Source organism: Homo sapiens, chromosome X (assembly GCF_000001405.40).
Source record: "Homo sapiens chromosome X, GRCh38.p14 Primary Assembly".
NCBI lineage: Eukaryota > Metazoa > Chordata > Mammalia > Primates > Hominidae > Homo > Homo sapiens.
The window spans coordinates 48615148-48639534 of record NC_000023.11 but is presented as its reverse complement, the minus strand read 5'-3'; the positions used below and the strand labels follow the sequence as shown (position 1 = coordinate 48639534).

The window sequence follows — 24387 nt, the reverse complement described above, 5'->3', positions numbered from 1 at the left end:
TCCCGCCACCACGCCCGGCTAATCTTTTGTATTTTTAGTAGAGTCAGGGTTTCACCATGTTAGCCAGGATGGTCTCGATCTCCTGACATCGTGATCCGCCTGCCTTGGCCTCCCAAAGTGCTGGGATTACAGGTGTGAGCCACCGCGCCCAGCTGCCTTTTATTTCTTTTTCGTGCCTAATTGCTCTGGCTAGGACTTCTAGTACTATGTTGAATAGGAGTGGTGAGAATGGGCATCCTTGCCTTGTTCCTGATCTTAAAGGAGAAGCTTTTAGTTTTTCACTGTTGACTATATGATGTTAGCTGTGGGCTTGTCATATATGGCCTTTTTTTCTAAGCCATTTGCACATACAGATTGAATGAGATTAAAATAAACAACACAAAATGTATTTAAATGAGAAATTGAAACATTAAAAATAATATTAGGTGACATTAAAACTGTCATAGAAATAAACTGTATATACAACAAATAAATCAATGATTGTTAACTTTTTTAGACAGTTTGAATATCAGATTATAATGAATAGCATTATTAGCCAGTAAAAAGAGCATATAAATTATTTTAAAATTCCAAATAAAAATATTTAAAATTTTGAAATTTTGGACCCAAAATTATGTCAGTAATTTCATGAAAGTAGATCTCCAATAGGTCCTATATTCTAGACACTATGAAATGACATCAGAAACCGTCAATTAAAGTGTAACCCACAAGTGATAACTAGCTACATACAAGTTTAATTTTCGATCAATTTGAATAACTGTTGAATTTAAAAGAAAATTGATGCTGAGGTTAATTTACAGAGTCAATGAAATGCCAAGAAGAAAGCATTGAGACTGAAACCAAAGAACCAAATATCGCATAACAAATTCTATCAACACTAACTTACATTTGTAGAGAGAAAAATCTATTCTGGCCATATGTAGCTACTAATATTTTCACATATGATTAATAAACTAATCACATTCTGCACATCAGTGTATCATACTGTATATTGGAGAGGGGGTGCTTCAAGTAAAGAGACTCAAGATTTCTCATAAGATGCTGATGTGTGGTAGCATTACATAACTAAAATATTTTATGTGTGCAGTGTGAAAGTTTGTGCATCAAAAGTTACAAAAATCTCTAGAATGCCCAATGGGGCTGAAAGGAAAAATATCAGAACTTTCCAGGAACACAAATGAGTCAAGAAAAGATTCAAAGGCTTTATCAACGTGAGAAGCGAATGGCTGATCACAAGGCAAAATTGATAATATTGTGCCAGGTTAAGTAGAACAAACAAATATACTGATTGAAGACATTTACAGGGAAAGGTCTCCCAATCATGACAGCTAAATTATAAGAAGTTATGAAGTACACACACACACAAAATAAGCTACCACAATTTAGAGTAAGAAGAAATTGGATGCTACATAAATTAATAATAATTGGAATTGTATTTAAAATGTTTACATCAATTCAGTGATAAAATAAGAGACAAAAATAGTGTTTAAAGAGGAAGAAACTTAAAAATTGAAGAGCATCCATGGAAAGAGCTAACTGTAAATTGAATAAATGAGAAATAAAAATCTATAAATTCAATATACATTGTATTGGGAAACTATTAACTTAGAATAAGCTAATGAGATAAATAGTGCACTGGAAGATTAAGGAGAGAAAATCGATGCTAATAAAAGTAAAGTGATATAAGATGTAAATATATTTATAGATCTATAAAGACAAAGATTAGAAGGAATAAAGTATATTCAGTTGTTTCACTGAAATACATACAAAGAATAAGACACAAATGTAATTTTAGAAAGAAATAATTTTTTGTAAAATTAAAAGCCAGAAAAAATTCTCGAATTCAGAAGTACATAGTTTTCAAAAAAAAGGTAAATACAGGTGATCATTTATACAGAAATAATAGTCAAGCTGTATAACACTAAAAAGAAAGAAAAATCTTAAAATTAGGGAGATAAAAAACAGAGGTAAGCCACAAATTTGTAGGCACCATCCACACAGCCTTGATAGAAGCCAGAACAAGGAGAAGTAAATATTGAGTGTAAGAATTTAATATTTAGTCAAATATCTTTAATAAATAAAAATAAAACATTCTCAAAAATACGAAGACAGAGAGATTATATTACCAGGAGGATATTCTTAATATTATACTTCAAAAAGAAAGAAAAATGTTCTCTGTATTAAGGCCTGAAAATCAAAATGAAAAAGAAGACACTTGTAAACATATGGGAGTATCTATCCATCATGTATGTTAAACTAAAAAAAACCCACAGAGAATTGGCAGCATTTGATTCAAAAGTATTTAGACATATTGAAAGTGTAAATCCATACATTTAAGTTAAATTAAATAGCAAGTTCTGTACTACTTATGTAATTTAACTGGTGACAGAATAATCTATTTTCAATAAAAATAACTTGTTAACCCTCTGTCTCACAGTTTGTGTCACAATGATTATCCTTTTATCAGATCTGAGTAGCACCAAAAGACTGACAAGCCTCTGGACACCCAGGACAACAGGGTCATATGCCCATAGCGAGGTTGAGGTGCATGAGATGATGAAATCGACCCAGTAGATGACCACAAAGAAACTCACTAGCAGCAGGATGGTCTGAGTGGCACTTTTCTCTGGGGAAGGTCTTGGGGAGAGGCTGGTGCTGTGAAAGTATCAGAATTTCTTCTGGTGCCTGAACAAAAGGACCACTCTGTATGCACTTGAAAGCAGCATTGTTCCTATAAGAAAAACATATCTGGAGTAAGAAACAGAGTAAGAAACAGTCTTCTGATGATGGAGTTCATGGTGGAAAAGTGAACAGTCTTTACTGGTATGCAGAAGATTGCTCAGGGTCACATTAGAAGACCCCACAGTGCACAAGATGAGATTACTACTGAAAAAAAAAAAAACTGAGAAAATGTAAAAACAACAAGAAATGACAGGTGAAAATGGTGGATTTATGGTTAAACCTCACCAACCAAGAGCTTCTGGGGCTGATGATTATGGTCTGAAGCACACTCAGGAAGCAGGTGGTGCAGATGGAGAAACTTCTCATCATCTTGTTCAGGTAAAAAAAATCCTTTACACTTGAAGTCATTCTGAAAATACAGTGACTCAGGCAGACCTGGAGACAACAATGACACCAGAGTAAGGAGGATCACTATGTGGATGAAGACCAGGTGATAAATGGTCAGGTCTGTGGGCTCAGGCCTGCATTACAGAAGAAGTGTGAAGACGAGGAAGAAAATGAGGAAGCTGAGGGTCAAGATTCCAATGCCAGCTTGAAAAAAAGAGGCATTTTTCAATGAAAACATAAGTGGAATGTAATAATGTAAATTGCAAAAGAGAAACATATTTTGAATATCTGAAAATAATAGACTTTACACCCGGCGTGGTGGCTCACGCCTGTAATCCCAGCACTTTGGGAGGCCAAGGTGGGCGGATCACGAGGTTAGGAGATGGAGACCATCCTGGCTAACACGGTGAAACCTCATCTCTACTAAAAACACAAAAAATTAGCTGGGCGTGGTGGCAGGCACCTGTAGTCCCAGTTACTTGGGAGGCTGAGGCAGGAGAATGGCATGAACCCGGGAGGTGGAGCTTGCAGTGAGCCAAGATCGCGCCACTGCACTCCAGCCTGGGCAACAGAGCAAGACTCTGTCTCAAAAAAAAAAAATAGACTTTACCTCATAAATGTTATTTATTGTATGTTCAAAATCATCACTTTTTTATCTCATAAAATTCTTGATTAATTCTATTACATAAATTTTCAAAAGTACAGTCAGCATTATTTTTACACTATATACCTAGTATATATATATATATATATGTATATATATATATATATATATATTCTAAGAATAATTGTGTGTGTGTGTGTGTGTATATATATATATTTTTTTTTTCTTTTTTTGAGATGGAGTCTCTCTGTCGCCCAGGCTGGAGTGCAGTGGCATGATCTCGGCTCACTGCAACCTCCACCTCCCGGATTCAAGCAATTCTCTTACCTCAACCTCCCTAGTAGCTGGGACTAAAGGTGTGCACCACCATGCCTGGCTAATTTTTGTATTTTTAGTAGAGACAAGGTTTCACCGTGTTGGCTAGGCTGGTCTCCAACTCTTGACCTCAAGTGAACCACCCACCTTGGCCTCCCAAAGTGCTGGGATTACAGGCGTGAGCCACCGTGCCTGGCCGTGTATACATACTTTTTTTTTTTTTTTTTTTGTGACGGAGTTTTACTCTTGTCCCCCAGGCTGGAGTGCAATGGTGTGATCTCGGCTCACTGTAACCTCTGCCTCATAGGTTCAAGCAATTCCCTTACCTCAGCCTCCCAAGAATCTGGGATTACAGGCACCTGCCACCATGCCTGGCTAATTTTTATATTTTTAGTAGAGATGGGGTTTCACCATGTTGGCCAGGCTTGTCTCGAACTCCTGACCTCAGGTGATCCGCCCGCCTTGGCCTCCCAAAGTTCTGGGATTATAGGCGTGAGCCACTGTGCCCAGCCCAACATAATTTAAAAAAAAATTAAAAAAAAATCTGACTCTCATATCACAGCATTAATTTTCTTAGCCTCTCATTCCCATTTAAGAACTTTTGTGATTACCCTAGGCTCACACTTATAATTCAGATAAGATCAGGTGCATTCAGGGTGGTATGGCTGTAGACACCAATCTCATAATTCAAATTAATCTCTTTGTTTTAGAGTCATCTGATTATCATCCTTGATTTTATCTACAGCCTCTATTCTTTGTCATATACCATAATATATTCCTAGAACGTGGGGGTTAAGACATGGGCACTTTTGTGGGGCATCATTTCATTTATCACAACTCCTATTAATTGTATTTTATTAAAATAATCCTGGCTCTGTCCAACTTTTGTTTCCATCCCAGAGAACCCTTATGTAAACTTTTTTATCTTAGAAGAAAATTGTGGCAGGGTGCGGTGGCTCACGCCTGTAATCCCAACACTTTGGGAGGCCGAGGTGAGGATCATTTGAGGTCAGGAGATCAAGACCAGCCTGGCCAACGTGGTGAATCCCCGTCTCTATTAAAAATACAAAAATTAGCCAGGCATATATGGCCTTTATTATGCTTAGGTAAATTCCATCTATACCTAGTTTAGAGTTTTTATCATGAAGTGGCATTGAATTTTTGTGAAATACTCTTTCTGAATCTTTTGAGATGATTGTTATCCTTCATTCTGTTAATGTGGTATATCACATTTATTAATTTATGTATGTTGACCCATCCTTGCATCTTAGGGATTAATCCCATTTGGTCATGATGTATGATCCTTTTAATGTGCTGTTGGATTTTGTTTGTTAGTATTTCGTGCAGGCTTTTTGCATTTATGTTCATCAGGGATATTGGCTGTAGTGTTCTTGTAGTGTCTGACTTTGGCATTAGGGTAATGCTGGCCTTGTAAAATGAATTTGGCAAACACAGGCAACCAAAGCAAAAATGGACAAATGGGATCACATCAAGTTAAAAAACTTCTGCACAGCAAAGGAAACAATCCACAAAGTGAAGAGACAACCCAAAGAATGGGAGAAAATATTCGCAAACTACCCATCTGACAAGGGACTAATAACCAGAATATATAAAGAGCTCAAACAACCCTAGAGGAAAAAATCTAATAATCTGATCAAAAAGTGGGCAAAAGATCTCAATAGACATTTCTCAAAAGAAGACCTACAAATGACAAGCAGGCATAGGAAAAGGTGCTCAATGTCACTGATCATCAGAGAAATGCAAATCAAAACTACAATGAGATACCATCTCACCCCAGTTAAAATGGCTTCTATCCTGCCAGGCACGGTGGCTCATGCCTGTAATCCCAGCAATTTGGGAGGTGGAGGTGAGCGGATCACCTGAGGTTGGGAGTTTGAGATCAGCCTGACCAACATGGAGAAACCCCGTCTCTACCGAAAATACAAAATTAGCCGGGTGTGGTGGTGCATGCCTGTAATCCCAGCTACTGGGGAGGCTGAGGCAGGAGAATCGTTGGAACCCGGGACGCGGAGGTTGTGGTGAGCTGAGATCGCATCATTGTACTCCAGCCTGGGCAACAAGATGGAAACTCAGTCTCAAAAAAAAAAAAAGGGGGGGCCGGGCGCGGTGGCTCACGCCTGTAATCCCAGCACTTTGGGAGGCCTAGGCAGGCAGATCACCTGAGATCAGGAGTTTGAGACCAGCCTGGCCAACATGGTAAAACCCCGTCTCTACTTAAAAAAACAAAAATTAGCCAGGCGCGGTGGCGGGTCTGTAATCCCAGCTACCCGGGAAGCTAAGGCAGGAGAATTGCTTGAACCTGGGAGGTGGAGGTTGCAGGGAGCCGAGATCAAGCCACTGCACTCCAGCCTGGGAGACAGAGTGAGACTGTCTCAAAAGTAAATAAATAAATAAATATAAATAAAATTGTAAAATATGCATTCACAAGTTAGTGTTACTGGAAAACTGCATGTTATGTAACAGTATGTACAGAAGTGAAAAAGTACAACCAAAATGATATATCACCAAAATTAAAAACACAAAAATTTAAGATAAAAACAAAATGACACGTACAAGTAAACCGTTTTTTTTAATTTATGTAAATATAAACACGGACATTTAGAAATATACACATTGAAAGGACAGAGATGAGAAATTATTCCTTGGGTGTTGGGTGTCTGTTTGCCATTTATTTCTATAATGTAGTTCCCTCTTTTCTGAAAAACTTGCAACCAACGTGGATGACTTTTCCAAAGAGAAGAGGGACCCAGCATGGTGGCTCATGCCTGTAATCCCAGCACTTGGGAGGTCGAGGCAGGTGGATCATCTGAGGTCAGGAGTTCGAGACCAACCTGGCCAACATGGCAAAACCCCTATCTCTATTAAAAATACAAAATTAGGTGAGTGTGGTAGCAGGCACTTGTAATCCCAGCTACTTAGCAGGCTGAGGCAGGAGAATTGCTTGAATCCCGGAGGCGGAGGTTGCAATGGGCCAGGATCGCGCCACTGCACTCCAGCCTGGGTGAGAGAGTGAGACTCCGTCTCAAAAAACAAACAAACAAAAAAACACAGAAGAGAAAACACTCTCTGAAATGGAAGTAAAGGGACTAGAAAACAATGGGAAGCTATTTAGTAGTAGGGGAAAGGGCTATTTTCCAATGGCGAGTGACAAAACCACAAGGCAAAACTGTCCCTCCCCCTCCAACTGGAGTCCATACAGGGACGCATGCACACGGGCACACGTGTGTCCCTCTGTGAGCGTTGTATGGTGCACACTGATAGACTGATGGGGACCCTCTGACCATTCCTGTGAGGACTTGAGCCAAAAAGCTACTTCTCTCTTGGCACACCTGGCCTAGCCCAGTGTGCTTTTGAAACTCTAGGAACCATTGGAGTCCACTGGAGGGCTTCTGAAAACACCAACTGCTGGGCCCCAGGCCCACAGCTTCTGATTCAGTGGGTCATGGGTGGGGCCTGGGAGTATGCATTTTTAATAGATTCCCAGCGAGGCAGCTGCTGCCTGCCAGGGAACCCCACTTTGGGAACCACTGGACTAGTGTCTGGGTCAGCGAATAGAGGAGGCCACCCGGAGGCCAGAAGGTGCCTGAGGCCCTGGGCTTCATGGCTGGTGGCTGGAGATGCCCTCCTCCAGGCCTGGAGCTTCCTCAACCTGACAACTTGCCAATAAGGGAAATGGGCGCGATCTAACGTGCCGCGAACTAGTGCAGACTCACAGCCTAGGTCGAGTAGGAATGGAATTCTAGAAATGATATATGCCAAGAGTTTGCAGTGTAGACCTCAGAATCATCTCAGATTCAAAGAGGAAACCAAACGACTGCAGCAGCAGCAGCAGCAGCAGCAGCAGCAGCAGCAGGGAACAGGTTGGCTACAGAGCCAGTGGTCACACCCGGCTTTCTGCAGCCTTTCTGGCTCCGCAGCATTTTTTTCAGAGCTTAAGGGCGGGAGGAGATGCTGTATATTTAGGGGTGGAGTGAGGAATAGCGGAGCATTCCGGCATTTCTGGAGTAACACTGCCCCCAAGAGCAATCTGTGATAAAGCCTCAAGCTATGTGGACAAACAACATGAAAGGCGAGGTAATGAAAAAAAGATCCAGAAAGATCCAGCAGCCAACTTGACGATCCTCGCTGATTGAAGATTAAAGCACTATGAGCGCAGCTAGGTTCAAATAGCGGTTCTGCCACTTACTCACTTTGTGACCCTGGGCAAATTAGTCAACTTCCCTGTGCCTCAGTTTCCCCTACTTGTACTTCATGGGGGATTAATGAACTAATATATGGAAAGTATTCAAAGCATTTCTGCTGACTACAGAAACTCTTTACAATTCTCCCAGAAATAATCCAGGTCATCATGCATTTGCCCACATTCCATCTTTGTCAGGAATTGTAGGCCAAAATGTTCTTTTTTTATTTTAATTTAATTTTAATTTTTTTTTGAGATGGAGTCTCCCTCTGTCTCCCAGGCTGGAGTGCAGTGGCGTGATCCGGGCTCACTGCAACCTCCACCTCCCAGGTTCAAGGAATTTTCCTGCCTTAGCCTCCCGAGTAGCTGGGATTACAGACGCCCGCCAACATGCCTGGCTAGTTTTTATGTTTTTTTAGTAGAGACGGGGTTTTGCCGTGTTGCCCAGGCTGGTCTCCAACTTCTGACTTCAGGTGATCCGCCTGCCTCGGCCTCCCAAAGTACTGGGATTGTAGATGTGAGCCACTGCAACCGGCCCAAAATGTACTCTTTTTTTTTTTTTTTTTTTTTTGAGGCAGTCTCACTCTGTCGCCCAGGCTGGAGTGCAGTGGTGCGATCTCGGCTCACTGCAAGCTCCGCCTCCTGGGTTCACGCCATTCTCCTGCCTCAGCCTCCCGAGTAGCTGGGACTACAGGTGCCCGCCACCACGCCCGGCTAATTTTTTGTATTTTTAGTAGAGATGGGGGTTTCACCGTGTTAGCCAGGATGGTCTCGATCTCCTGACCTCGTGATCCGCCCGCCTCCGCCTCCCAGAGTGCTGAGATTACAGGCGTGAGCCACCGCGCCCGGCCAATGTACTCGTTTTTTAAAGACAATGCTTAGTTATAGTTCTCCACAATTAAACCCAGCACAGTGGCCAGGAGTGGTGGCTCATGTAATCCCAGCACTTTGGGAAGCCAAAAGGATCACTTGAGACCAGGAGTTCGGGACCAGCCTGAGCAATATAGGGAGACACCCACCCCCCCCACCTGTCTCTATTTTCAAAAATAAAATAGGCCAGGTGCAGTGGTTCAATGCCTCTAATCCCAACATTTTGGGAAGCTGAGGAGGGAGGATTGCTTGAGTCCAGGAGTTTGAGACCAGCCTGGGCAACATGTTGAGGTCCCATTGCTACCAAAATTTTTTAAAAATTAGCCAGGTGTGGTGGTGCATGCCTGTAGTCCCAGCTACTTGGGAGACTGAGGTGGGAGGATCACTTGAGCCCAGGAAGTCAAGGCTCCAGTGAGCTGAGATCATGCCACTGCACTCCAGCGTGGGTGACAGAGCAAAGACCCTGTCTCAAAACAAACAAATAAATAAAATACAGTAAAATAAAATTATAATAAAATAATATAAAATATAAAGACATTAGTTGGGTGTGGTGGTTCGTGCCTGTAGTCTCAGCTACTCAAGAAGCTAAGGTGGAAGGATCGCTTGAGCCCAGGAGTTCAAAGCTGCACAATGAGCTATGAGCACACCAGTGCACTCCAGTCTGGGCGACAAAGTGAGACGCTGTCTCTAAAAAAATTTTTTTTAATTAAATTAAAATAAAAGAAATTTTTAAGGTCAGGTCTGGCTTTTTTTAAAAAAAAGTCATGAGTCATACTCTCAATATAGGCATAGAACACTGTTTACAGCTTTTGCCTCCATAAAATTATTTTTCTGTTATGGAAAATTTCAAGCGTATAAAAAAGTAGAGAGAACAATACAATAAATCTCCATGTAGTCATCACCTAGTTCAACATTTATCAATTCACAGCCAATGTTGTTTCTTTTATGTCCTCTACCCACATCCCCACTGGATTATTTTGAAGCAACACCCAGATATTACATCATTTTACCCATGAATCTCTCAAGATGTTGCTGTAAATGATAAGAACTTTTCCTTTTTTTGTTTTTTTTTTTTGAGACAGAGTCTTGCTCTGTTGCCAGGCTGGAGTGCAGTGGTGCAATCTCGGCTCACTGCAACCTCCGTCTCCCAGGTTCAAGCAATTCTCCTGCTTCAGCCTCCCGAGTAGCTGGGACTACAGGTGCACACCACCACGCCCAGCTAATTTTTGTATTTTTAGTAGAGTCGGGGTTACACCATGTTGGCCAGGATGGTCTCCATCTCTTGACCTTGTGATCCGCCCGCCTCAGCCTCCCAAAGTGCTGGGATTACGGGCGTGAGCCACCGCGCCCGGCCCAAATGATAAGAGCTTTTAACAAGTTAGCAGTAAATCATGATCATATCTCAAAAATAATAATTCTTTAATCAATTATCTAGTCAGTTACTTTGTCTCTCTCTTTATTTATCAGTTTTCAGAATGAGTTGGTTCACTAGCATCCTCCAAAGGTGGCCAGGGAGATTTTGTGGCATCATTCTGCCCTGAGGGCTAGGTGATGTATTTCAATCTATTGCAGTTATTGTTCTTTTTGATGCTCAAATTGCCCCATCTTTGGCCAATGGGAGCCTTTGAAACTTGCTTGATATGACCCCAGTAATCTATAACTTCCTTTTGATATGATGCAATTTTTAAATAATACATAATTTTATATAATAATGATTATACAATGATACTGTGTTTGCATGGTTCTCAATAATAGTACAGTATATTCAAAAGATAAATAATAATAATATGGGCCAGGCGCAGTGGCTCACGCCTGTAATCCCAGCACTTTGGGAGGCCAAGGCGTGTGGATCACGAGGTTAGGAGATCAAGACCATCCTGGCTAACACGGTGAAACCCCGTCTCTACTAAAAATACAAAAAAATTAGCCGGGTGTGGTGGCGGGAGCCTGTAGTGCCAGCTACTCGGGAAGCTGAGGCAGGAGAATGGCGTGAACCCGGGTGGCGGAGGTTGCAGTGAGCCGAGATCGTGCCACTGCACTCCAGCCTGGGCGACACAGTGAGACTCCGTCTCAAAATAATAATAATAATAATAATAATATGGTATATTTAGATAAATCTAGCTTCTATCCCTGTCTCCTCAACCTTCTTCCCTCTCCCTCCACCCATAAGAAACTATTTTATCTTTTTTTATTCACCCCTTTATAAATAGCTGTTTATATATTTTTGGTTTACTCATCCATTAAAAATATGCAGACAGCTATTTTTTTAAGTAAATTTACAAAGTAAAAACAAAACAAAAAAAAAAACCACACACACAAAGAGCAAATTCCTAGCCAAAAAAAAAAAAAATCCTGGATCAAAATGTATATAAATGTAAAACTTTGATAAATACTGTGAAACTTTTTCTAAAATGCTTGCTGAATTTTATACTGCCACCTGTTATATATTATCAGTTTTCCTCATACTCTTGACAGCACTGGATATTATAAAACGTGAGAGAGCTAAATCTTTTTTCCCTGAGCTATTGGAGTTTTGTGGTTTTATTTTTGTTTTAAAAAATCCAAGTTTGGCCAGACCTGGTGGCTCACACCTGTAATCCCAGTACTTTGAGAGGCCGAAGCAGGAGGATTGCTTGAGCTCAGGAGTTCAAGACCAGCCTGGGCAACATGGCAAAACTCCGTCTCTACAAAAAAATACAAAAAGTTAGCTGGGTGTGGTGGCTCACGCCTGTAGTCCCAGCTACTCAGGAGGCTGAGGTAGGAGAATCACTTGAGCCCAAGAGGCAGAGGCTGCAGTGAACCATGATCACACCACTGCCCTCTAGCCTGGGTGACAGAGCAAGACTCTGTCTCAAAAAAAAAAGAAAAGAAAAAAAAAAGAAAGGGAAAGAAAAAAGAAAAAGTCCATGTTTATGTTTATTGCATTATGGTCAAAGAATGTGGTCTGTATCCATTCTACTTTTTGGAATTTATTAAACTTTTCTCTGTGGCCTAATATTATGGCCAGTGATTACTAATGTTCCATAGTTGCTGACTGACTAAAAGATGTATTCATGGTTTTAAGAAAAGAGAATTTGATATAGCTTTATTAATTATACTGTTTTTGTTTTTGTCTACTAGAGCTGTCATTTGCTGACAAAGGTAAGTTAAAGCCTCCTGCTTCTGGTATATTTCCATCATTTATTTATTACATTTCCCAGAGGTTATACTTTTTGCATCTTGCCACTCTATTAATTAGTACCTACAAATTTATGACAGCTATAGCATTATTTCATTTAAAAATTTTTCTTTTTAGAGACAGGCTGAAGTGCAGTGGTGCCATCATGGCTCACTGCAGCCTTGAACATTTCTCAACCCTGGGCTCCACCTCAGCCTCCCAAGTAGTTGGGTGAGTCACCACACCCAGACATACACACTGTTCTATTTTATTTATTGATTGATTTATTTCACTTCACAATGGGTCGACACATTGTTCTAAACCTTTACCCTCCAAAAGCAAGACACTATCTCCACCAACAACAACAAAAATTTTTAATTAGCTGAGCATAGTGGCGTCATGCCTATAATTCCAGCTACTCTGGAGGCCAAGGTGGGAAGATCATTTGAGCCCAGGAATTTGAGGCTGCAGTGAGGTGAGATCACGCCACTGCATTCCAGCTTGCGTGACAGAGCAAGACCCCATCTCTAAAATAAATAAATTAAAATCTTCATCAGTAAATCCCAATACCTCATATGGACTCATGATCTTGTAATACATTTTGTATTTAAATTGTTTATATAGACAGAGTTCCTGCAAAAAATACTTGTCTGGGGCCCCATACATTTTAGGGGCAATGCTGTGGTCAGCCTTTGAGGTGGTCCCTGATGATTCCCCATCCTGGTGTCTGTGCCCCCCGCCTTGAGTGTGGTCTGGATTTTGTGACTCAAAACAAATAGAATATGGTAGAAATGATAATACCACCTCTGAGATTCATTTATAAAAAGATCCCTCTCTCTGTCTCACTGGAGCCCAGCCATCAATTAGAAAGGCTATATGAAAAAAATGAGGCCCTGGAGACTGAGAGGCCACATGGAGGAGACCTGAAGCACCCCAGCCAATAGCCAACACCAGCCATCAGCCAGGTGAGTGGGCCTTCTTGGGAGCAGACACCCCCAGCCCCAGTCAAGCCTTCAGATGACTGTAGCCCTAGACGCAACTTCATGAGAGACCCTGAGCCAGGACTATCTATTAGTAATAGCAAAGCTGCACCCAGATCCCACACCTACAGAAACTAAGATAAAAATGTTTGCAGTTTTAAGCCGTTCCTAATAATTTTTTTAGACAAAAATGTCTCTAAAGATAATGATTAAGTTTATTTTTATTTATTTATTTTTTGAGATGGAGTCTTGCTCTACCACCCAGGCTGGAGTGCAGTAGCACGATCTCGGCTCACTGTAACCTCTGCCTCCCAGGTTCAAGGAATTCTCTCCCTCAGCCTCCCGAGTAGCTGGGACTACAGGTGCGTGCCACCAGGCCCGGCTAATGTTTTTGTATTTTTATTAGAGATGGGGTTTCGCCATGTTGGCCAGGCTGGTCTTGAACTCCTGACCTCAAGTGATCCACCTGCCTCAGCCTCCTAAAGTGCTGGGATTACAGGCATGAGCCGCCATGCCCCGCCGTTTTTTTTTTTTTTTTTTTTTTTTTTTTGATACAGAATCTCACTCTGTCTCCCAGGCTGGAGTGCAGTGGCACGCTCTCGGCCCACTGCAACCCTACCTCTCTGGTTCGAGTGATTCTTGTGCCTCAGGCTCCCAAGTAGCTGGGACTACAGGCACCCGCCACCACGCCCAGCTAATTTTTGTACTTTTAGTAGAGACAGGGTTTCACCATGTTGGCCAGGCTGGTCTTCAACTCCTGACCTCAGGTGATCCACCTGCCTCAGCCTCCCAAAGTGCTGGGATTATAGGTAATGAGCCACTGCACCTGGCCAAAGTTTATTTTCAAAGACACCTGTGAATGCTACCTCTCATTTATAAATATGGATGAACACATTCTTATAGAGGAAAAAATCTTTATTTTTACTTTTTTTTTTTTTTTTTAGAGACAGGGTTTTGCCCTGTTGCCCAGGCTTGAGTGCAGTGGTATAATCACAGCTTACTGCAGTCTTGACCTCATGGACTCAAGCAACTCTCCCACCTCAGCCTCCCCAGTAGCTGAGATTACAGGCACATGCCACCATGCCCAGGTAATTTTTTGTACTATTTTGTAGAGACTGGGTTTTGCCATGTTGCCCAGGCTGGTCTCGAACTCATGGGCTCAAGTCATTGCCCACCTTGGCCTCCCAAAGTGTTGGGATTACAGGCATCAGCCACCACGTCCAACCAGAAAAAAAAACTTGTATATAGTATATAGAAAAAAAAATTTGTATATAGTATATAATAATCCTGAGATGTAGCATGCATAATATACCAAGAATATAAAATAACGAGATTCAGTCAGTTTGGAGTAGAATCTAAACATCTGTATTTTAATAAAACCTTATGGGTAAGTCTGATGTGCACTGAGCGTCACTGGCCTAGAAGATGTCAGATTCAAATTAAAGAAGGCTGTGAGCAAGTAAGCATTTACAATAATAACCAATTATTATGACCAATAATACTCTATACTGCTGTTGTCTAATATCATCAAGCAAAGCACCACCAGGACTCTGATGAATACAGGAAAACTCAACGAAAATAATTTTTTTCTTTTTTTTGAGACAGGGTCTTGCTCTGTGGCCATGGCACAATCTCAGCTCACTGCAGCCATGACCTACGAGGCTCAAGCAGTCCTCCCACCTCAGCATCCTGAGTAACTGAGAGTATAGGTGCATGCCACCATGCCCGTTTACTTTTTAAAAAAAAATTTTTAGTAGAGACGGGGTCTCACTGTGTTGCCCAGGCTTGTATTGAACTCCTGGGCTCAAGTGATCCTCCTGCCTTGGCCTCCCAAAGTGCTGGGATTACAGGCATGAGCCACCGCCCTGCCCAGGAAATATTTCATAACAGTTTCATTCAGTGTTTCCTCTAAGTTGCAACATATTATGAAAAGCAAGGGCACACATCTCCAGGAACTTCCGATAAAGCATACACTTTTTTTGTTTGTTTGTTTGTTTGTTTTCTTTTTTTGAGACAGAGTCTCACTCTGTCACCGAGGCTGGAGTGCAGTGACGTGATCTTGGCTCACTGCAACCTCTGCCTCCTGGGTTCAAGAGATTCTCCTGCCTCAGTCTCCCGAGTAGCTGGGATTATAGGCGCCCGCCACCAATAATTTTTGTATTTTTAGTAGAAATGGGGTTTCCCCATGTTGCCCAGGTTGGTCTCGAACTTCTAACCTCAAGCGATCTGCCCGCCTTGGCCTCCCAAAGTGCTGGGATTACAGGCATGAGCCACCATGCCCGGCCTAATTTTTTTTTTTTTTTTTTTGAGACGGAGTCTCACTCTATCACCCAGGTTGGAGTGCAATGGCATGATCTCAGCTCACTGCAGCCTCCATCTCCCAGGTTCAAGCAATTCTCTCACCTCTGCCTCCCAAGGAGCTAGGACTACAGGCACACACCACCACGCCCAGCTAATTTTCGTGTTTTCAGTAGAGACGGAGTTTCACCATGTTGGCCAGGCTGGTCTCAAACTCCTGACCTCAGGTGATCCGCCTGCCTCGGACTCACTCCCAAAGTGCTGGGATTACAGGCATGAGCCACCACGCCCAGCCTAATTTTTGTATTTTTAGTAGAGACAGAGTTTCACTATGTTGGCGAGAACTCCTAGCTTCATGTGATCTGCCTGCCTCAGCCTCCCAAAGTGTTTACAGACATGAGCCACCACACCCGGTATCTAGCATCCTTTTTAAATAAAGTGAAATAACTGATCCTTGTAACTTTCTAGGATCCCTGTGTGAAATCTCAAAGATAGTTTTAGGTACAAAGGAGATCATGAAAGTTAAACTTTATTTTTTTCTATATTTAGGTCTGACTTTGGGAAGATAAAAATGAAAACCTAAGCCAGGCATGGTGGCTTGGCCAGGCAAGGTGGCTCACACCTGTAATCCCAGCACTTTGGGAGGCTGAGGTGGGCAGATCAACTAAGGTCAGGAGTTCGAGACTAGCCTGGCCAACATGGTGAAACCCCGTCTCTACTAAAAATACAAAAATTAGCTGGGCATGGTGGCACGTGCCTGGAATCCCAACTACTCGGGAGGCTGAGGTGGGAGAATTGCTTGAGCCCAGGAAGTGAAGGTTGCAGTGAGCCGAGATCATGCCATTGCACTCCAGTTTGGGCGCCAGAGTGAGACACTCCCTCTCAAAAAAAAAGAAGACCAGGCACGGTGGCTCACGCCTGTAATCCCAGCACTTTGGGAGGCTGAGGCAGGCAGATCGTCTCAGGTCAGGAGTTCAAGACTAGCCTGGCCAACATGGTAAAACCCCGTCTCTGCTAAAAATACAAAAATTAGCTGGGCATGGTGGCTCACACCTGTAATCCCAGCTACTTGGGAGGCTGAGGCAGGAGAATCGCTTGAACCCAGGAGGCAGGGGTTGCAGTGAGCTGAGGTCACACCATTGCACTCCAGCCTGGGCGACAAGAGCGAGACTCCATCTCAAAAAAAAAAAAAGGAAAAAAGAAAAATTAAGAGGAGTTTTATACACTTGAGTAAGATATTATAGGTACCTGAGAAACAATAATGGTGACCAAAGTGACAATAAAACATAAAAATACGGATAGAGAGTAACATGATTATAAATCACTTAAGAGAGAAAATTTTTTTCTTTGTATTTCTTTTCTTCAAAAATTAAGGACATAGGGCTGGACGCGGTGGCTCATGCCTGTAATCCCAGCACTTTGGGAGGCCGAGGTGGGCGGATCATGAGGTCAGGAGATCACGACCATCCTGGCTAACACGGTGAAACCCCATCTCTATTAAAAATACAAAAAATTAGCCGGGCATGGTGGCAGGCACCTGTAGTCCCAGCTACTCAGGAAGCTGCGGCAGGAGAATTGCTTGAACCCAGGAGGCAGAGGTTGCAGTGAGCCGAGATCGCACCACTGCATTCCAGCCTGGGTGACAGAGCAAGACTCTGTCTCAAAACAAAACAAAACAAAACAAAAATTAAGGACATAATAGGCCAGGCACGAGGCCAGGAGCGGTGGCTCACGCCTGTAATCCCAGCACTTTGGGAGGCCAAGGTGGGTGGATTACCTGAGGTCAGGAGTTCAAGACCAGCCTGGCCAACATGGTAAAACCCCACCTCTACTAAAAAAAATACAAAAATTAGCCGGGCCTGGTGGTGTGTGCCTGTAATCCCAGCTACTTGGGAGGCTGAGGCAGGAGAATCACTTGAACCTAGGAGGCGGAGGTTGCAGTGAGCTGAGATTGCGCCACTGCACTCCAGCCTGGGCAACAGAGCGAGACTCCATCTCCAAAAAAAAAAAAAAAATTGGCTAGGCACGGTGCCTCACATCTGTAATCCCAGCACTTTGGGAGGCCAAGCGGGGTGATCACTTGAGCCCAGGAGTTCGAGACCAGCCTGGGCAACTGGTGAAATCCCATCTCTATTAAAAATACAAAAATTAGCCAGGCATGGTTGCACGCACCTGTAATCCCAGCTACTCGGGAGGCGGAGGCAGGAGAATTGCTTGAACCCGAGAGGCAGAGGTGGCAATGAGCCAAGATGGGCACCACTGCACGCCAGCCTGGGTGACAGAGCAAGATTCTGTCCGCGCTGCGCCCCGCCCCCCCCAAAAAAATTAAGGACATACTAAAGCCAAAATAAAGCACAGAAAACTATTCTAGTAAAACATTCTTTCCTCTCTAGGCAGATTAAATATAAAGTAAAGAATAACAGGCTGGGCGCGGTGGCTCACGCCTGTAATCCCAGAACTTTGGGAGGCCGAGGCATGCGGATCACGAGGTCAGGAGATGGAGACCAGCCTGGCCAACATGGTGAAACTCCATCTCTACTAAAAATACAAAAATTAGCCGGGCATGGTGGCGCGTGCCTGTAGTCCCAGCTACTCGGGAGGCTGATGCAGGAGAATCGCTTGAACCCAGGGGGCAGAGGTTGCAGTGAGCCGGGATTGCACCACTGCACTCCAGCCTGGACGACAGAGAAGCGAGACTCCGTCTCACAAAAAAAAAAGAATCACCATGTATGTTGTAAGCCAAGGAAACAAACCTAAGACATGAATACATTGCATAGCTTCCTCCATAACTCAGGGGTTATCAGCCAAGGCAAATAACATTCACTTTCCAAGTTTCATATCATGGAACAAACTGACACTTTACTTGAAGACAGATGTCAAGGGCCCAAAGGTCAGAACTGATTTCATAGTAATACCAAGATATGTTTTTGTTTTGTTTTGTTTTATGAGACAGGGTCTTGCTCTGTCTTCCAGGCTTGAGTGTAGTAGCAACCATCATAGCTCACTATGGCCTCAAACTCCTGGGCTCAAGCAATCCTCCCATCTCAGCCTCCCACATAGTTGGGACTACAGGTATGCACCATCACACCCAACATTTTTTACTTTTAAATAAAAATTAAAAGTAGAGACAAGGTCTCTCTATGTTGCCCAGGAAATAAAAAAAAAGTTTGATTTTCTAATTTTCCTATAATTTTAGAAATATTTGATTTGTATATGTGCTTATTTATTTCTATCAGCCAATCAGAACAGAGTTCCTTTAATTTAAGTGACTTCATAAAATAATTTATGGATACCCTCCAGAAACAGGAAAATATTGCTCACTCACCTGAGGAGTCTGACTACAGCCTCAAGTGATCCTCCCACCTCAGCCTCCCAAAGTACTGGGATTACAGGCATGAGCCACTGCACCCGGCCCTAAGATATTCTTTATGTTAAACATGTTAATGCATTTGTTATTACTATGACTCAATAAATATTTACAATTTTCTGTTTTAATTTCTAACCCAGTAAGTATCAATAGCCATAACCCACGTAAATCAAAGCTCTTTGGGGTCTTTAATAAGCCCTAAGAGATTAAATAGAACTAACTTTGACTTCACCAAGGTGTGGATAATTGTGAAATGTCATTTTAGTCAACTAGCCAAGCTCAGGGCTACACTTAAACCAGCTCCCTAGAATGGCCCACATCCCTTATATGACATCTTGATGTGGCAAAAATGGATATGTTGATTGATAGACCCCAAAACAGGGCCTCTCTGTAGCACATACAAACAAGCAGCAGGCCAGGCACAGTGGCCCACGCCTGTAATCCCAGCACTTCAGGAGGCCGAGGCAGGTGAATTGCTTGAGCTTGGGAGTTCCAGACCAGCCTGGGCAACATGGCGAAACCCCATCTCTACAAAAAATACAAAAATATGGCTGGGTGCAGTGGCTCAGGCCTGTAATCCCAGCACTTCAGGTGGCCGAGGCGAGAAGACTGCTTGAGTTCAGGAGTTCGAGACCTGCCTGGGCAACATGGTGAAACCCTCTCTCTAAAAAAAAATACACAAATTAGGCCGGGCGCAGTGGCTCACGCCTGTAATCCCAGCACTTTGGGAGGCCGAGGTGAGCAGGTCACGAGGTCAGGAGATTGAGACCATCCTGGCTAACACGGTGAAACCCCATCTCTACTAAAAATACAACAACAACAACAACAACAAAAAATTAGCTGGGCATGGTGGCAGGCACCTGTAGTCCCAAATACTCGGGAGGCTGAGGCAGGAGAATGGTGTGAACCCGGGAGACAGAGCTTGCAGTGAGCTGAGATCACGCCACTGCACTCTAGCCTGGGAGACAGAGTGAGACTCCATCTCAAACAACAACAATAACAACAACAACAAAAAACACAAATTAGCTGGGTGTGGTGGTGTGTGCCTGTTGTCCCAGCTACTCGGGAGGCTGAGGTGGGAGAATCACCTAAGCTTGAGAGTTCGAGGCTGCAGTGAGCCAAGATCAGGCCACTGCACTCCAGCCTGGGCAACCAGAGTGAGACCCTGTCTCAAAAAACAAAAAGCGAAAACTAGCCGGGCTTGGTGGCATGCGCCAGTAGTCCCAACTACTTGGGAGGCTCAGGTGGGAGAATCGCTTGAGCCTGGGAGGTCAAGGCCACAATGAGCTGTGTTCGCACCACTGCATTCCAGCCAGGGCAACGAAGTAAGACCCTGTCTCAATTAAAATAAATTGAATTAAATTTAAAAATAATAATAAGCAAAATTATACAAATTTAAAATTGTGCTTAGTAATCAGTGTTTCCGTTTTCTTCCTTACTTAGAAATGCTCTGGGCATCCAGTGAACATCCATTAATTAAGTCAATTGAGTATCAGTCAGAATTTTCAATTACCTAAAGATCTTGGAAGTTATCTTCAAGATGACGTACTACAAAACATAATTACGTTGAAATAAACTTATTAGATTAATGATTTATTTTAGTCAAATGCAAGGATACATTTTTTGTAATCTTCAACATTATGGAGGAGAAGTGGTAGCTTATTTGATCAGTAAACCTTCATCAATTTAGGAAAATACAAACTTAAGTAGATAAATGCACACTTGTATTATACTTAACACTAACAAATCAGAGAGAAAGCATCCATAATAATTACAGGATAATTACTTAATAATAGCATAATTTTGTTTTTGTTTTTGTTTTTGCTTTTTTTGAGACAGGATCTGGCTCTGTCACCCCAGCTGGAGTGCAATGGCATGATCTCAGCTCACTGCAACCTCTGCCTCCCAGGCTCAAACCATCCTCCCACCTCAGCCTCCCAAGTAGCTGGGACTACAGGCGCACACCACCACTACTGGCGAATTTTTGTATTTTTGGTAGAGACAGGGTTTTGCCATGTTGGCCAGGTTGGTCTTAAACTCCCAGGCTCAAGGGATTCTCCCACGTTGGCCTCCCAAAGTGCTGGGACTACAGGCATAAGCCACTGCACCCATCCTATACTGTTTTTATTAAACTCAAATAATTAAACTAATGTCATTTGCCAAAGATTTATCTTAATTATGAGAACTTGGATTCTTAAAGTCTCTGAATTAGTTTCTGAAGGAGGAATCTTTTTCAAGACTAGTGCATTTACGGTACTAAAAGTTCAGTTTCTTCCTGGACTACAGAGGACAGCCATTTAAAAAGTCTGATTTCCTCATTTTCCTAAATTTTAGGAATATTTGATTTGTATAAGTGCTTATTTATCTCTATCAGCCAATCAGAACTGAGTTCCTTTAATTCAAGTGACATTACAAAATAATGTATAGACACCCTCCAGAGATGGGAAAACATTACTCACTCACCCCAGGAGTCTGACTGCAGCCACAGAGGGAGCTTAATGCTTCATTTTCACACCGTTAGCCACAGGGCAAGAGATCCAAGAGACACAGGATAACATGCCTGACTCCTGCTGTTCTCTGCCAACATCCGTTCATTCATTCCCAGAAGTCACCAAATGGTCAGATCAGAAAGCCAAATTCCCAATCATCACTGCCACCACTAGGGAATAACTCAGCTATAAACAAACCAAAACCAAAAATATAACAGGGGACAGACAGGGTGGCCTGGCCTCGGCTATTTGCCTTAATTTGACTCACCTAAGGGGCAGGGTGACATGCAGTAAAAAGGTCTTTTTCTATTGATTGCCACTGGAATTGCCCTTCTGAAGTTTTGCACTGATATCTCCGTGCTCCTGCTCAAGGACCCACAGTGGCTCCTTCCTTCCTGTTACCATGTGGATGCCACTGATTAGATCCTCAGCTTCCATGTCAGGCTGTCATCTGTCTGAATATGCAACGAGGCCACGGTGCTCACTGTGCGTCATGATCATTGCAAGCAAGGCCAGGGGTGACATCTGCCCTCAGTCTGGGTCACTGGGTAGATTTGAGGGGTTCTTGGCAATGTCAGCTCCCTGAGGGCGAGGTTTTGTGTGCCTTGTTGACTGTTATAACTTGGCACAGTGCCTGGCACATGTAGGTACTCAGTCAATATAGGTCAGAAGAATGAATGGATATACTCCCCAACCCTCAACTGAGTCTTGAGGAAACTGAGGCACAGAGTGGTAAAGTGACTGGCTCAGGACCATGTGGGCGAGTCATGGGAGTAACAGGATTTTCCCTGGGTCCCCAGTTACTTACCCAGTGGCCACCCATTTCTTTTCACAGCTCCTCCCCATACCTTTCCTGACAGTGGGAGACAAAGATGTGAACCACTGGCTGGGTGCGGTGGCTCACACCTGGAATCCCAGCACTTTGGGAGGCCGAGGCGGGCGGATCACTTGAGATCGGGAGTTCGAGACCAGCCTGGTCAACATGCTGAAACCCCGTCTCTACTAAAAACAGTAGAGACGTGTGGTGGTGCACGCCTGTAATCTCAGCTACTTGGGTGGCTGAGGCGTGAGAATCGCTTGAACCCGGGAGGCAGAGGTTGCAATGAGCAGAGATCATGCCACTATACTCCAGCCTGAGCGACAGAGCAAGACTCTGTCTCAAAAAAAAATGTGCACCACTGAGACCCCTTTTCAAGGAAAGGCTCGCTGCACAGCTGCAGGGAGTGCGGTGGGCAGGCAGCCTCCAGATGTCAGCTCCATCAGAGTCTGCAGAAAGTCACTTCCCCAAGCTCATGCCCTTTACCCCAAAACACTCTGCCACGCCATCCCTGCTCCAGAGCTCCCCGCTGGGCTGGCCAAGGCTTTGTGTGGCTTGCATCATACTCAGCTCTCCCCCTGCCCGATCCTGCTTCCTCCTCCTTCCCTTTACATCAACTGATAAACCTCCTGTGCCCCAAACTCCAGCTGAAATTCTGCTTCTAAAGAGCCTGCCCTGTGACACTGCCCAGTGAAACTAAGGGGTCCCAACACTGCATCCACTAGGAGTTACCCCAGGGGAAAGCACATGAGTGGAATGGTCACTTTATCGGCTGAAGAGTAGTGGAAAGAGTCAAGAAAACTCACCTGAGAAAACCAGAGGGCTGCAGCTCAAAGTCAAGGGTACAGGAAGTGACCCTGAGAAGGTCTCCAGCACTGTGTTCTATAAGGCTCAGCCCAACACAACCAAGCCGGTGAGTAGAGCAAGAATACCCAGGACTGGCTTTTATTCAGAACATGTTTCCACCTGGTTCTGAGGGAATCAAGATATCAAAAAGCTAGGCACAGTGGCTCACACCTGTAGTCCCAGCTACTTGAGAGGCAGGGGTGGGAAGATCTCTTGAGCCCAGGAGGCCAAGTCCAGCCTGGGCAACATAGTGAGACCCTCCCCCATCTCTAAAATAAAGAAGAAAGCAAAAAGCCCAAGGGAATAGCAGATGGATTGCATGTTTCTGGAGCTGGGAAATCAGTCTATGGGGAGTTCCTGAAACATGTAATATGCAGCATAGCTCAAAAAACAGGTTGTTTTAACTTAGAAAAACTCAACAATGAAGAGTTGATAGTGGCCAGGTGTGGTGGCTCACACCTGTAATCCCAGCACTTTGGGAGGCCAGGGTGGGTGGATCACTTGAGGCCAGGAGTTCGAGACCAGCCTGGCCAATGTGGAAAACCTGTCTCTACTAAAAATACAAAAATTAGCTGGGCGTGATGGCATGCATCTGTGGTCCCAGCTACTCGGGAGGCTGAGGCATGAGAATAACTTGAGCCCGGGAAGCAGAGGTTGCAGTGAGCCCAGATGGCGCCACTACACTCCAGCCTGGGTGACAGAGCAAGATTTTGTCTCAAGGAAAAAAAAAAAGAAGAAGAAGAAAGTGATGGTACTTGGCACTTGAATAATCTCTCGGATGCAAGAGTAAGTTATGTTGATGTGTTGAGAGCTGACCAGACCAACCCTGTTATGAAATGCTAGAGCATCACCATGGACAGATGGAGGACAAAGCCTCAGAGCCACCAGCCGGAATCTCAGTTAGCTGTGGTAGGAGGGGCTTAATGGCTTCTTCTGTACAATTGAGTACTAATTTCTAACCATGATTGCATTGTGGTCTTGAGCTTATGGCCACTATAAGTTGTTGTTTTGTTTTGTTTTGGAATTTATTATTATTATTATTTAGAGACAAGGTCTCACTCTGTTGCCCAGGCTAGAGTGCAGTGGCACGATCATGGCACATCTTTTCTATACAGATGAGGTTGTGAGGTAGAATTTGCCATCAGTGACTTCCCCTTTGAATAAGCACCTGAAAATGAACTTAGTGTAGTCATGTCAAGGTCTCATAGGGGCGCTCAACATTGTACTGTAGCCACTTATATTCACTGCAAGGGAGAACACCCAAGGTCACCAAAGTATCCTTTCTTGGGTCCAGGGAGAGAAAATGGGTAAACCATGTGTCCACTTCCTCGCTTTTCCTCCATTGTCCACTAAACCTAATTGATAGGCCCATTT

The 24387-nt window shown here is 43.5% G+C and overlaps 1 long non-coding RNA gene and 1 pseudogene across 2 annotated transcripts, besides 1 other annotated feature; both read right to left on the bottom strand.

Annotated features, from left to right (window-relative positions):
• Positions 1 to 714: 714 nt before the first annotated feature.
• On the bottom strand, positions 715 to 22295 carry LOC107985695 (uncharacterized). 2 transcript variants are annotated; one of them, XR_001755842.2, is made up of 3 exons: positions 21325 to 22295; positions 2968 to 3117; positions 715 to 2731 (listed from the first exon to the last, which is right to left on the bottom strand). It is a non-coding gene; the product is annotated as an uncharacterized LOC107985695 (long non-coding RNA). The 2 variants fall into 2 exon arrangements; XR_007068227.1 differs by having other exon boundaries at positions 2972 to 3117.
• Positions 2376 to 3307, bottom strand: VN1R110P (vomeronasal 1 receptor 110 pseudogene; annotated as a pseudogene).
• Positions 7638 to 7707: an enhancer, noted in NCBI's record as "active region_29607". NCBI's record gives its function as "activates an Ori minimal core promoter by ATAC-STARR-seq in GM12878 lymphoblastoid cells {active_cell/tissue: GM12878}" and the evidence as "EXISTENCE:reporter gene assay evidence [ECO:0000049][PMID:35858748]".
• Positions 22296 to 24387: the final 2092 nt, after the last annotated feature.